The following is a 14,696-nucleotide window of genomic DNA, read 5'->3' as shown; positions in this document are numbered from 1 at the left end:
GAAGAGGGGAGGGGCCGGTCCTCTGCTGCTCATTCTGTGGGCAGCAGATCCAGGCCTGGCCGGCTCCCTGCACTGTGGCCTTGGGGACCCAGGTGCTTGGAAGCCCGTCAGAGGCCAAGCCACCCACCTGTGCACCTGCCCTTCTCCGTGCCCCTGCCTCCACAGGCACGCAAGAGCTCCTGAGCTCCATGGCAGAATCGGGCAGGTTCCCAGGGGCCTTGACATTTTAAATATTTAACAAGGCCTGGCAGACAGGGGAAGAGCAGACAGCTGAGGCCCATCTGCTTCCTTTGATCTGGGAGAGGCCAGAGCTCTTGTGGATAAATGGCCCTCCACAGCCTCCTCGGGGGCTGGGCAAGGAGGAGGGAAGGCAAGAGATGCTCGGGAGCAGAGCCAAGGCATCAGCCCCAGCAGCAGCTGCACCGTGAGGGCGTGTGCGGCGGCGAGGCCGGGTGTCACGGGCGCATCAGCTCCAGGGCACAAAGCTAGGGAGACCCAGGCAGACCCTGGAGTTCCTGACCTGGCCCGCAGCCCCCCTCCTCCATCTTCACTCCTCCCTGCAGCCTGAGTGCCACCTGCAGACAGACGGGGCCGAGGCCGGAGCCACAAGAGAACAGTCTCTGGGTTGAGGGTGAGGGCAGAGCGGGAGGCTGGAGGTGCCAAGGAGCCTCACGGCTGGGAGCAGAGGAGATGGGTGGGCCCAGGCGTTGCCCAGATGGGCAGCAGATCAAATCAGCCCGCACTGGCTGGGGAACAGGCCTGGCACTAGGCTGGGATAGCCCCAGCAGCCCTGCCAGGCACGCAGCGCCAGAGAATGCTGTGGCTCCTGGAATCTGGGGCTGGGCCTGGCTCCTGGGGGTCCCCGCTTCATGGCAGACCGCAGCAACCAGGGCTGGGCAGGCCTCACAAGGCCGGGTGGAACATTGCCTCCCACAGGGATAGTCAGGCCTCCGCCCCAGATCTTTCTAGACAGTGCTCACCGGGCTTTCTAGAGCCTCCCTCAGCAGTGAGACCGACACTACCCTGGGCTTGTGCCTCTTTGGGACAGCCTGTGGCCAGTCAGTGCCACCTCTGATCAGCACTCTGGGCCTCCCGTGACCCAGCTTCGGTCACCCCTTCCTGCCAGACCCAAATGGCTTGTGCCATCCCCAGGCCATCCTCTCTCTTCCCAGGAGAGGCCCCGGTCACCCGAAACTCCGAAGGCTTGCACCCTGCATCCCTTCCTCCTGTTCTGATCCCCCTTAAGTGAACACAGGGTTGAGCACACCGGAAATCCCCAAATATACAGATGGGGCTGTCTTCCTCCTCCCTGCCCTGCCCTGCCCTGTTCCTCGGAAGGGTTTCTGTTTGGGGCCCATTCCGCCTGTGTGTGTGTCCCATGAAGTTCCCATCTCCCCCTCCCCAGTCTCGCTCTATAGAGCGGAGAACTCCTGATTGTGGAGGTGTGGAGATGAGGGGGTCAGGTCAGGTTACCCAGGGCATCTCCCCCTCAAGGGAAATGGCTGAGAGGAGGGGCACAGGTGGCCCTTGACCCTGGCCAGCCTTGGGGCTAAGGATGCCTTCAGGTCGCTCCTCTGAAGGCTGGGAGCAGGGCTGGGTGGCATGCAGCCTGAGAGGGACTTACCCTCTGTGGGTGAGGTCTTCAGCCTCCGGCAGAGCCCGCTGACATCCCCGTAGGCCTCCTCGATCTTCTGCAGCGCCTCGGCCCCTCGCAGCTCCATGAGGGTGCGCAGCTCCGCCAGCGTGCACCCAAAGCCTCCAGCCTGGGGGACATCCCGCTGCTGCTGGGGCTTGGGGTGGAACTCGATGGAACTATTGGCCATGTCGCCCATGCTGCCTGTCAGGCCTTCTCACAAGTGCAATCTTGGCTCAGCCACAGCTAGGGACAGGCGGCCACCCACGGTCCCAGTGCCCAGGCAAGGTTTGGCGGCGGTGAGAAAGCTGCTAAGCGTGGACACCTGGGGAGATGGAGGCGAGAAGAAGCCAGGGGAGTGGTTGAGACAAAACTGAGGTCCCATCTTCCAGAATATTCTCGGCAAATCTTCACTCAGTCTGTGCCATGACCCTCGAAGTGCAGAAATCACCTCCCAGGCTGGGCCAGTGGCCCTCATGCTCTGCCAGGCCCCACCAGCCAGGCCACTCCCGGGTCCTGCCCACCATGGGTGCCCAGAACCTGGAGGGCTTGCCCAGGTGGGGGAGGGGAAGTGTCGATGCCTCCTGCCAGGACCCTGCAGTGGTTAACACTAGCTAGCTGGAGGCAGAGGCTGTCACTGCCCCCCAGATCCATTCGGGAACCCACGCTGAAGTGAGGGCAGCGTGCTGGGACTGATCAGTGGCTGGTCTTGCCCGCGCCCCACCACCAGTCCTGCGCTTGTTCACTCCGGTTCACTCCCTGCTCTTGCCTGGTTAAGATGCGCCCTGTGCAGCGGGCATGCCATGAGTCCCTGGTGGTCTTCTGGTGTGGCCTTAGTGGCTCACGGTTTCTGTGGCCCTGAGAGTACCTGGGGGGCCAGGGGCGAGGAAAGGAGGAGGCCCGGAGGAAGGGTGGGAAACAGGGGAGGGGAGAGAGGGACAAGACGGAAAGGCAAAGAGAGGGAGGGAAAGGGGGATGGAGGGAGGGAGAAGAGGGAGGGGATAAAGGGAGTGGCTGAGGAGGAGAGGAGGAGAGGGTACACAGGAGAAAGCCAAAGCAGCCACAGGTCGCTGGTGAGTCTGCCAACGTCCCAGCCCACAGCATGGTGCCACCCACTCCCCTCCACGCTCTTCTTCCCTCCAGATGACAAAGTAAGGAGCCAAAGTCTCCCCACACTGAAAGCATCCAGGCCACGGCCCTGGCCCCACTCTGCCGAGCATCGCAAAGTTGTCATCCCTCTCCCTGTCCCCGTCACCTTACCCAAGGATCCGCTAGGGCCCAGGCTGCCCCTTCTGCAGCCATCACAGTGTTTGGCGGGGCCCACTGCAGCTCCTCTCTCTCCGCTCCTTCCCGGCCCGAGCTAAGCCTGTCACATCCTCATGGAACTGAAATGGCCTCAGTGCACATGGCCTGGCCTTGACATCAGCCAAGAGCCCTCCTGGCAGCTCAGCAGGGCCCTGAACCCCCGTCTCTGGGGAAGCTCCTGGCTCAGAAGCATCCGTTGGAAACGAGTGGCCCAGAGCCCTGAAGAAAGGGGAGAAAGCCCTCAGGCAGCCAAAGCAGACACGGCCAAGTCCATGGCCTTATTCTCAGGAGAGGCCCTGGTGGATACTTCACGAAACATCCATCCACAGTGACCCATGTTTGAAAAGCGTGGGCACCTGCGCGTTTACTCTCGCGACACATTGCACATGAAGCAGCCTTCACTTCTGGGAGATGTGGGGACAAAATGATGGCCATGTGCCTGTGCCGTCCTCTCTCCCCACCTCTCCCCGCCCTGTCTTGCAGTTGGTCACCTGACACATATTCACCGAGCAGCTACTACATGCCTGGCACTGGCTTGATGTGCTGGGACAGGTGCTCAACAAGTTTCAACTAACCCCGTCCCTCTCTAGCTGGGACAGGGAGAACAGCAGGCCCGAGGGCCAAGAGCTGTGGGGTTGCAGCTGGGGCAAAGGTGAGGCAAGGCGTCTGGGGACAGGCATTGGGGGGAAAAGACTAGAAGGAGTGAAAGCTGAGGAGAGGGGGCCAGGACAGCAAGCGAAGCTGTCCCAGGTGAGGCGGGCTCCTTCTGGGGGTGCTGTGTGGACGAATTGCCCTTGCTTTTCTGATGCGGGAAACTGAGGCTGGCTTGGGGAAGTGGCAGAGCCAGAGGACAGCTGGGTGTCCCACTTCTGACCCCTCAAGGCAGCAATGGCAGCTTTCGGCTCTCACCTGGACTCCTCGTCTTCTCGAGACAGCCTCCCCTCCCCACCCCAGGACCTTTGCTTGTGACGGTGCACCTGCCAGGGCGCCTTCTCCCTGCCTTCCTGAGCTCCAGTCACCTCATGCCTCAACAATCCCACCATGTAGCAACTTTGTGCCACTGTCAGGTTCAGGCTCTGTGCCCCCAGCGGGTGACAGAGTGAATGGCTTGTGTGGTAGGCTCTTGGGTGGCACACGGCCATGACAGAAATGCTTGTTCCTCAGAGCAGGGGTTCCTCGTGGCACGGTCACCGAGGCCTGGTGGCCCTCCCCTGGCATGTGCTCATCCTCCCTCCTCTGACCATGGCATACCCAAGGCCAGCTCTGTCCTCCCCCACCCGGTCCCTGCCCCTGACCCCACAGCGGTGGCCCAGACAGAACCATACCAGGTCGTACAGCTGCTCCTGACTGGTGCAGCCATGGCTGTGTCTGACTGGACCCACAGTGACTCATGGGGAGGGCAGTGGGCAAGGAGGCAGTCCTCCCCTCTGCCATGGTCCCGGGGCCAACTTCCTTCTCCTCGGCTGGCCCTGCTGGCCCTCCCCACTGCAGGATCCCCACCCCTCAGCAAGCAAGCTCCACGTCCTGTGGACCACCTCTTAGGTCTCTCTCTAGTCCAGCAACTGGTCATGACCCTGCTGTGAGTCACCACTTTCCTGGTTCAGGCACCATCACTCCAGCGAGCCCCTGTTTCAGTCTCCCATCCCCATCAAGCAAAAGGCCAGATTCCTTCTGAGCACTTCCCAGCCCCACTCCCACCCCAGCCACACAGCCCTGCCAGCTCTGAGCCCCGACCGCACGCCCTCTGTTCCAGCTCCACCTGCTGACCTCCGATGAATCCTCTTAGTCACAATTCAAGTGGAACATTCTCCAGGAGTCTCTGCCAGTTCCCCAGCCAAAACTGATTGCGCCTGAGTCTATAATCCCGCGACCCATTCCTATTTCACTCTGCTTGGCGCTGCGATGATCTGTGAGCTTGTCTCCCACCAGCTGGGCCCTAAGCTCTTTGAGACACGTGGTATGGAGTCGGCAGGAAGTCTACCGCGTGGTCAGTCCCGCATGTGGCCGGGGGCCTGGAGGAATGAGTGAATGGGGGCCTGGCCCACAGGGGAGGAACTTGGAGTCCTGGGAGGTGGAGTCTCCATCCTGGAGGACAGGGTGGGGTCGGGGTGCTCTGCTAACCCTCACTGTCTTCATGAATGCAACAGGCTATAGGGCAGACAGGATCCATCAGTTAGAGTAAGGCCCATTTAGAGCGACTGTTGGCTGCTGTGCAGACCAAATGGCATATACTTTGCTTTTCTGGGTTCTATATAAGCCTGGGCGGTGGCCTCCCTGAGGCCCAATAAAGACAGCAGCCATCGCCGAGATGGCCAAGAACCGAAGTGACTAGGCCTATCAGTTCTGCAGGCCTGACAGAGTTTCCGGCCTGGGCTGGCTGCCGAGAATGGTCTGTAGGCACCAAAAGGGCAGGGAACATACCATTTCTGTGCTCTTTCATCTTTCTGACCTTAATTGGCTTCATTGAAATGAGAACCTCCACAGAGGGGGCCTCGCACCTTCCGGCATTTGCACCATCCCCGCACAGACTGGCCGGCCTCGTGGTGGGAGACAGCCAGGGGGGTCCCTGGCTGCTGCCTCCAGGGGCTGCTGGAGGGGATGGCCCAAGTCCAGGCCCATTACTCAACCGCCTTCTGGACTCTTCTCTTCAGCAGGGCCCAGAGACCCTCACCTCCCAACTAGGCTCAGAGTGCCTACTCCCCACCCAGTGACTCAAACCCACCTGACCAGAGACCCAGGGGTCCTCTTTCCCCTATGTTGTCCCTCCCTGGCTTTGGGGGCTCTGCTGGCACCTCCAGCTTAGTCCCCCATGGACTTCCTCCAGGCCCTGGGCAGCCCAGCATGCTCCAGAAGGCTCGGCACTTTCTAAGTAGGGGGCACCCCCGCTCCCATGGGGCCCCTCTCAGGACCCCATGGCACACACTGAGTTTTGAGCCCACATCTGCATGCCAGCTCTTGACAGACATGTTTCTTTCACTGCACCCTTGGAAACACCCTACGAGGGCCAGGAGAACTCTCCCTGCCTTACAGAGGGGGAAACTGAGGCTCAGGAAGCCTCCTGCTTTTGCCCTGGTTCTCCCAGCCCTGCCTTCCATGTGACTTGAGGTGGGTCATGGCCGCCCTTGCTGGGACGCTCTGATGACACCCCTGAAAGCCTCCCCAGCAGGCCCAGGCTGCATTCCACTCGGCCACCTGCTCCGCCTTTATGGAGGAGAGAACAGATGGAGGGCGAGATCCCACCACCGTCCTCCAGATCTCAGGTGATGCACGCATCGGGATTCACGCCATTCTCTTTCCTGAAAACAGCCCCACTGCACCCCAGTCGAGCACCCCTTCAGTTTCTGGGGTCTGCGTGGACATATATCCCCACAGGGATGATGGGGCATGTACTGCCAGGAAGTCCCAGCTCCCGAGTCACTCCCTAGTCACTGGACCCTCAGTGATGAGAACATGCGGCTCCTGGGCATTCAGACCATCTGGAAGCCAGAGCCAGGCCCAGGATGCCGTGGCCCCGAAGCAAGAAGGAAGCAGAACTCAGGGGCAGAGGGCAGGAGGTGGACGCCTGGGGGCCTACCTGGGCACATGCCCTCCACCGTGGGCCCTCCTGAAGGCAGACTGTCCGTCACCTGCTCCCTACAGACCCACCAAGCAAGGGCCCGCCTTTCAGAAGGGCCCATCACTCAGCGACGTGACTCACTACGGGGATTCCTTAAAACAATAGTCCCCCATCTCTCTCCACCTCCAGGCTCCTAGAACACAGGCCAGGCCCGGCAGAACCCAGAGAGGAAAAGCAAGCCAAGGCAACAGCGAGAGGTGTGGCCCAGGCCTCGTAGGTCAGGCCCGGGGTGGGCCCCTAGACCAGCTGGGGAGCAGGTGGGGAGAGGGCACGGAAGGAGGGCGCCCAGTCTGGCAGCCACCCTGCCCTCTCCTGGGCCTGGCATGATCCTAGGCAGGTCGAGATGCTGGTGGCTGGTGTGCACCTGGGAGACCCCTTTTATCCCTGATTCCCCACATCTTCCTGCCCTTGCGCCAGGCCCTCTCCTTCCTGCCCGCCCCTGCCCCCTCCCCTCTGCTTGACGCACCTTGGCGACCACCTGGGAGGGGAAAGGAGGGTTCCAAGGACAAGGCCTGCATGCAGCCAGGGAAGGGGGAGGGAAGGAGCTGAGGCAGAGAACAGCCTCATTAATATTTCAGAGGCACCGTCGCTGCAGCTCCTGGGCCCTCACGGCTCCACTTGTGCTGGTGGAGGGAGGAGGATGGGAAAAGAGAAGGAAATAAAACCCGAGAAAACAGATTTAAAGGGACAGGCTCCCCCTCTGCCCCCCACCGGCCCCCAGTGCTCTGTTCCTTCCTCCCCCTGTTCCTGGTACAATCTGTACACATGACAAGTGGCTCTCATGCCTGGAACAGCTTTGGGCAAAAACAATAGCCATCACCATGGCGCCCCCTCCCCACTCCTGCATGCACCCACCTGCCTGAAGCTCTGCCCTGCAGGGCAGCCCCGGAGGGGCCACCTTGGGGACCCACTGGCAGCTGCGTGCAAAGCCAAAGCAACCGCCTGTCCGGCGCCGGGTGCCGCAGAAAGACACAGGCATTGGAAGTCCTCGTTAACAAGGGTCCAGACAAGGAGGATTCTGGAACCCACAGAAACACCCTGGAGGTGGCAGGAGCCCAGGAGGTTGCCCGATTCAGCCTGCGCCTTTGGGTGGATGCACTTCTGCAGCACTCCTGGCCCCTAGGTGGCCCAGCGCTCTACTCTAATCTACGGCAGCCCATGCCAGACCTGGGTGGGCACCCCTCCCCACTCAGGGAACTTCACGAATACAGAGTCTTGGGTCCAGAGCTTCCCATTCAGAAGCGGGAGGACCAGAACGCTATAAAGCACCCCAACCCCTGGGGGATCTGGGTGTCTAGTCAAGCTCGAGACCACACATTTGCCTGCCTTCAGAGGCTCCAGGGCTGGCCCAGAATTCTCATTCAAACAAGCACCGCCATAGAATGGAAGACGGTGCAGCCACTGTGGAAAGCAGTAGAATTCCCATAGGACCCACCCACCCCACTGCTGGGGTAGGCCCCAAAGAATTGAAAGCAGGGACACAAACGTATTTGTCCACTCAAGTTCATAGCAACATTACTCACAATAGCCAAAAGGTGGATGCAACCCAATGTCCATGGATAGGCAGCTGGATAAACACCATGTGGCCCATCCAGGCCATAGAATAGGACTCAGCCTTACAAAGTAAGGCCATTCTGAGACGGGCTTCAACATGGCTGACCCTTGAGGACGTTGGACTCAGTAGAAGGAGCCAGTCACAGAGAGGCCAACACTGTAGGATTCCACTCCTGTGAGGGCCTCATAGGAGAGCTGTGAAATCTGAGGGGACGGACAGTGGAAGGGTGGGTGCCATGGGCTGGGGGCTGGGGAGTTGGGGTTGAACGGGGCCAGAGCTTCAGTTTGGGAAGACGAACAAGTTCTGCGGCTGGATGGTGGTGATGGCTGCACAGCACCATGAATGTGCTTCTGCCCCTGGGCCGCACACTTAAAAATGGTGAACGTGGTACATTTTAGGTGATGTCTATGCCACCACAATAGAACACGCAAGCAGCCCCCACCAGCCACTTCGCCCTGTGTCCAGGGTGGTGGACACTGGGCCTGAATGGCCTCCCGTGGTGCCCAAGCCACACGCCGTGATTGCAGGAGTTTCACTGCCTTGACCAGCCCAATCAGCCAGCAGTTCGCTTGTATGGATTTTAACTTCCAGGAAACCCCCCTACTGGATATGGAAACCCAAGCAGACCCTTCCCCACACACCCTACCCCCACCCTGCAGCCTCTGTGACTTTTAACACCACCCATATCCTGCCCAGCCAGGTGGGTACCCTATTTGGTGGCACAGGAGCAGATCAGTGGAGAGAGGCCATCACCACTGCTCCTGCCCTCTTGCTCACAAATGGCCCCTCTTTTTGCTGCACTTCTTCAGAGGTACTGACCCCATTCCATCCCCAGAAGGGCTGGCCAGGTCACCTGGGGAAAGCCTGGCCTCAAGATGGGTACCTTCCACTTCTCAAATGTGTCTTGAGGAGGTGTTAATGAATCCGCAGAGGTGTGTGGCAGAAACTTGCTAGCTACTCTCCCACCTCCTACGTCATGTTTTAATTTTCAGCTAAGTGTCTTGTCATCCAGCTAATGATTACATTCCCCCAACTCCCTTGCAGCTAACCATGACCATCTGACTCTGTCCTGGCCAACTGGGTATGAGCAAAAGTGACAGGGACGAATTCAAGGGCCATGTCCTTAAAGAGAAGGAATGTGTTCTCCTCTGCCCTTCCCCTCCTTCCTGCCAGCTGGAATGCTGATGTGGGGACAGGTGCGGCCGCAGCTATCTATCTGTTGCCATCTTGCACATGGAGTCCATGTATGACACAATCAAAGGAGCTCAGATTCCTGAGGGCTAAGTAGCTGTTGCGCTGGCCCTAGGTTGCCCACCTAGACTCTTACATGAGAAAGAAGTCAATTCTCTCTCACTGAAGCCACTGTTATGCTGGGTCTCTGTTAGATAGGCCAAGCCCATAGCCTGAGTAAATGTTCACTCCTAACCCAAATCCAGCCTGGTTCTGGGAGAGCCAGGAGGCCTCCCTGAGGTCTCCAGGACCTACCAAACCCCCACTTTCCCCTGAGCTCCCTGGGGGGTGATATTGTCCTAGAAGTTCTAGCTGAGGCAGAAGGGAGATGATAGAGCCACGGATGAGAGGCAGAATGACTATCACTCTGCCAGCAGCCTCTATAGCATGGGGTGGCCCTCCCCACCAAAGAGCACATGCGGCTCAGGCACAGAGTGGTTAGAGAGCCTACTCAAGGTCACACGGCAAGCCAGAAGCAGAGGCCAACAGGACCTCAAGTGGTCTAGCTCCAGAGGATTCGACATTGCTGCTCTGCCAAGTTATACTGCCCTGAAAAGCCCAGAAAAGCAACGAGCAAGTGATTAGAACCAATGAAAAGAGTTCAGCAAAGTGACTGGACAGGAAATCTGTCCCCATCAACCTCAGGGTTCCAGAGTGCAGGTGCTGGCTTTGGTCACTCAAGCTCTCTGGGCCTTCACTTTTTAATCTGCGAAATGGTCCTCGTTCCTTTTTGCTGGGTTGGTGAGAAGGCAGGGCTCCACCTGCCCACACACCCTGAGGCTGGTCCCCAGGGGACTGGGCCCATTTTCCCGGAGGTTCCTTCAAGCCCAGGAGATCTCCAGGAAGCCGAGCAGGGCAATGCTCTTCGCTGAGTCAGCCCCTCCCGCCACACGCTCCCCTCCCGAGGCTTGTCCTGAAGTCTTCAGCTGGACTCCAGCTGGACCCCAGAGTTCACAGGTCAGGACCAAGCTCGACCGGTGAAGTCAGAACATTCCGTTCGGCCGGGGGCTGAACCCATGTGCCTCTCTGGATGCTTCCCCAAGCTTGCCCGGACTCCCGCAGTGCTCCTGTCTCCCACACAGGCGGCCCTCACAATGCTGGGTGTCCCTGGATCCCACGGGGAGGTTGGAAGCCCCTTTGTGATTGGGGCCAGAAGTCTACACTGAGGGTTGGGGGACAGTCATTTGTTTCCTGCCAGAGAAGGCAAGAGCTGCAGAAGGAGAGAGCGAGGGAGCAGGAAGCATAATGACACTAATTATCCAATTACAGCGGGTGTGCGAGCTGCATAGCAGCGTGAGCCTGGCCAGCCACTACCCTGCCCCTACGTGCTCCCCACGCCCCTCCTGCCAGCCCGGGCCTGCCCAGCAGCCCCGAAGGCAGGGACGGCATGGGGACCTAGAAACGCTGTGGCTGTGGCCAGCGTGAAAGACTCTAGCCTACAAAGGGACGGAGACCTCGTGTTTGGGGTCCAATGGGAAGCCGGGTCCCTGTCCTCCCAGCCCTTCATAGCCAGAGAGCACGTGGATGGGAGGAGAGGTGCCCCAAGTCGGCCCGGCTCTGCTGTGGTACCTCGGTGCCCGTCCCAGCCCGCTTCCAATCTCAGAGCCAGCTCTGAGGACCGGAAGCCGTCGGGGCCTAAATAGGTAATTAAGGAAATTACAGGCAGCTGGAGGCCATGGGGCTGTGGGCCCTGGGCTAAGTCCTTCCAGCTTGGACAGGCAGTGACTAAATAAGGAGCTACCAGGACACATACACGTGTCCTCCTAGGGAACGAGTCCCATGGGGCCCCATTAGGAATCCTGGCAGGGGCAGTAGAGAGGGCATCCTGGTTTCTGGAAGCAGGCCAAAGTCCTTGGGAGTACAGGCTGGGGGGATGCATTGGTGTCAAGGTCAGAGGCCAATAAAAGGATCTGGGAGGCAGACCTCCAAATGGGGGCTCCAACTGAAGATGGGAGTCAAGCCTGCCCTTCTGTGATCTAGACCCAAGGAACGAGCACACCGAAGTATCCGTGCCACTCTCCCCAGCTGAGGGGGCAGGATGCCTGCTGCCAAATGTGGTGATGGAGGAAGAGCCAGTGGCGAGGATGCCCAGAGAGAGGGTACCTCAGAAGCTGCAGCCGAGGCTGCAGGACGCGAAGGTCATCAAGGGCTTGGCTGCTGTCTGAATCGCGTGAACTGAGCATTGCTGGTTCATTTTTGAATTTTGCCTAAGACACTATTTCTGAGCGAGGAACCCGGCATACGAGCCCAAAGCTTTTCCAGCAAAGCCCAGAGGAAGCACCACCAAGTTCCTGCCGTGCTCCAGGAGTGCCTGAAGGGAGTGCAGAGGCAGAGGCCCCCTCTCAGGCCGGGACCCAACACCAACACAGGGCTCCGAGTCTCTCCCTCAGTGCGCCCCACAGCCCATCAGCTCCCCCTACCCTCCCACCACCAGCTGCTCCTCCAGTTCCTGACCCTCTTATCATCATCTGTCATCAGCACCATTCCTCCCGCCCCCTCTGTGCTCATGGACAGATGCCTGCTCTCCCCACTGGGAAGGCACCGGGAGAGCACAGCTGGGCTGGGGACAGGACCTGAAGGGGTGGATTTCTGCTCTGTGTGCTCACCCCCTCCCCTCCTCCCTTAGGGGAGACCCCAACCCTGCCCGTCTCCATCTCAGATACCCCCTCCCACGATTGTGCTATAGCCCAGCTTCCTCCTTCGGGGAAGGGTGGATGGGGCGCAGAGGGCCAGGCGGTGGCCTGGGAGCCCTGACCCACCCCATCCCACCTACAGACACAGCCACGAGTGCCTCCCTAGGGGCTACCAGGGCAGGCGTCTGGGGCAGTGGCCCCCAGGTCAGCGCATTCTTACCCTCTGGCCCCATGGATGGGTTACAAGGGGGGACTCTTGCTCCACTCCCCAGGACAGAGGTTTCCAAGCCTAGCTGCTGGTCACAGTGTTGTGGGCAGATGAACCACAGGCCAGGAGGGAGAGATGAGACTAGGTGGGAGACGTGCCCTACCCGTCCACAGCCCTCCCTCTTCTCCTGCACCAGACGTGGGACCATCTGCTGGCAGCCGCCCTCTGACTACAGGAAGGTACCCAGAGACCCCAGGAGCCAGAGGAGCCAGGACCAGCTGCTCCTGAGCCCATCTCTCCTGGGCCTGTGGCTCCAAGCCAAGATGTGGCAGTGTCTGGTCCTGGATGCTTCCAGGAGAAATGGAGCTGAGGCCCATGGTGGGGGGCGGAATGGACCCTTGTGCCTGGTGAGCCCTTGCTCTGCCCGAGAATTGGGGCTGGACACACTCTCCTGCTCCTGCTGCTCTTTGAGGGAGCCAAGCGGTTACTGCCGGGCTGGTCCAACCTGGAGAAAGGGCCCCTTCCCATTTGGTCACGCCCTGTGCCACCATCACACCCCTGGCCCGCAATCTGTGGGAATGTAGGTTCAGTTTCGAACCGGCCACTCCATGCGCCTTAACCCGGTTCAGGGTTTGATTTGAAACGCCGGAGTGCAGGGAATTCTGAGTGTCAGGACAGTGATTTCCAAAAGAGCAGCAGAAAGGCCTAAGTCCTGTCATTTGAGGTCATCTTCTGCCGGCCCACAGTGGCTTCCCAATCTCCCGCGCTCTCTTGTACTGCCGGCTTTGTTTTCGTGTTTCTCAGTCAGGAGGCTGTGGCGTTCCCAGGGCCGTCTGGCTATCCTCAGCTGGGGGCCTTCACTCAGGATGGCGCTGTACTGCCCACACCCGCCTCCCATCTGCGGAGAGTCAAATCCACAGCATCTGCACAGAGCCAGCCGCCACCCCACCCCATGGGGACCGGACTCATCTGCGGCTTCGGAACTCTGAGGATGTCCAGAGAATGTATCACCCAGTGCTTTATCTTGGCGGGGAGGGAGGAAGGGGGTCTTGACAAAGTGGTTCTGAAGTCCACTGGACAGAGAAGCAAGCTTTAGGATTGCTGAGGTGGGGCCGGCAGGTCAGGTATTAAATGATACCAGGTACAAGAGGCAAAAGCACATCACCGGTACAGCAGCACACAGATGGGCCCGTGGGTCAGGACAGGCAGCCAGCACCAGGTCTGACTGCAGACCAGTGTCAGTGCGTGCAAATGAGCCAGGGAACAACCGATTTGCTACTAGAGATGGGGACAACTGGTTAGCAATCTGCAAAGGATGCACCTTAGATCCTCACCTCAAACTATCCCCTAAGACACATCTCATTTGGATTCAACAGGTTTGGCAAATTACAGCTTAAGTGCCAAATCTGGCAGCCCAGTGTTCTTGTGAATAAAGTTTTATTGGGACACAGCCTCACCCCCTCATTTCGCATTGTCTGTGGCTACTTGCAGGCTACCATGCAGAGTTGAGTAGTCGGGACAGAGACTATGTGGCCTGCAAACTGGAAATCTATTTACCATCTGGCCTTTTGCAGAAAAAGCTTGCTAATCCCTAAATTAAAGAGTTAAGTATCTTAAAAATGCAACTACACCACCCCAATACACACACACACACACACACAGACACACACACACGAAGACACATGGAAAACTCAGAAATGAACAGCTCTCAAATTTCCGAAAGGGATTTTCTAAGCCTAGAAACAATGGAAGAAATCACAAATAATTGTGAGCAACAAAGTGTTTACCTTTTGCATGAAAAAAAAAAATGGCAAAGAACAAAGGTCTTAAAAATTATTTGCAACAAATCTGTTAAATTGTCACTGTTTTTTCATGCATACAGTTTATTCAAGCCCACAGAAGAAACACTAAGACTTCAATAAACGCCTTTCATTCCAGCACTTTGGGAGGCCGAGGTGGGTGGATCACCTGAGGTGAGGTGTTTGAGACCAGCCTGGCCAACATGGTAAAACCCCGGGTCTATTAAAAATACAAAAATTAGCCGGGTGTGGTGGCGGGCCCCTGTAATCCCAGCTACTCGGGAGGCTGAGGCAGGAGAATGGCTCGAACCCTGGAGGTGGAGGTTGCAGTGAGCTGAGATCGCGCCACTGCACTCCAGCCTGGGTGACAGAGCGAGACTGTCTCAGGGAAAAAAAAAAAAAAAAAAAAAAATGAAGGGAGGAACAGATAATTCACAAGGAAAAGACAACTTATAAACATGAGGAAAAACGTGCCCCCTCATCAGCAATTAAAGACATATAAAGTAAAGTACATATTTTTGACCTAGATACTTATGACAATTTGTTTGATTAAAATATCTAATGCTGGCAAGGTTGCAGTGAGCGACACCATGCAGTGCGATGAAAAAGCCCTTTTGGAGAACAATTTGGCAGAAGATACCTCTGCCTGGGCCCTCTCCTCAGGACAGAGGCTCCTCAGCAGAGCTCACGCATAAGAGCAAAATAAATCTGACTGCC

At 58.3% G+C, this 14,696-nt stretch overlaps 1 protein-coding gene across 13 annotated transcripts in view; it reads right to left on the bottom strand.

The window, feature by feature from the left end:
- ATP2B3 (ATPase plasma membrane Ca2+ transporting 3) overlaps positions 1-14,696 on the bottom strand; it is a 65,288-nt gene that overhangs the window by 44,850 nt on the left and 5,742 nt on the right. For 11 of the 13 annotated variants that reach the window (NM_021949.4, XM_005274689.4, NM_001001344.3 and 8 more), the window contains one exon: positions 1,625-1,958. In NM_021949.4, the coding sequence (NP_068768.2) occupies positions 1,625-1,832 (208 nt within the window). In that variant the 5' untranslated portion in view covers positions 1,833-1,958. Of the gene's footprint in view, positions 1-1,624; positions 1,959-2,893; positions 3,080-4,705; positions 4,850-14,696 lie in introns of those variants that run through there. The other 2 variants (XM_047442142.1, XM_017029553.2) reach the window with 2 other exon arrangements.

The sequence above is a fragment of the Homo sapiens genome, chromosome X (genome assembly GCF_000001405.40).
Source record: "Homo sapiens chromosome X, GRCh38.p14 Primary Assembly".
In the NCBI taxonomy this organism is placed as follows: Eukaryota; Metazoa; Chordata; class Mammalia; order Primates; family Hominidae; genus Homo; species Homo sapiens.
Note: the sequence above shows the minus strand (reverse complement) of the source record. Positions and strands in the feature narration are given on the sequence as shown.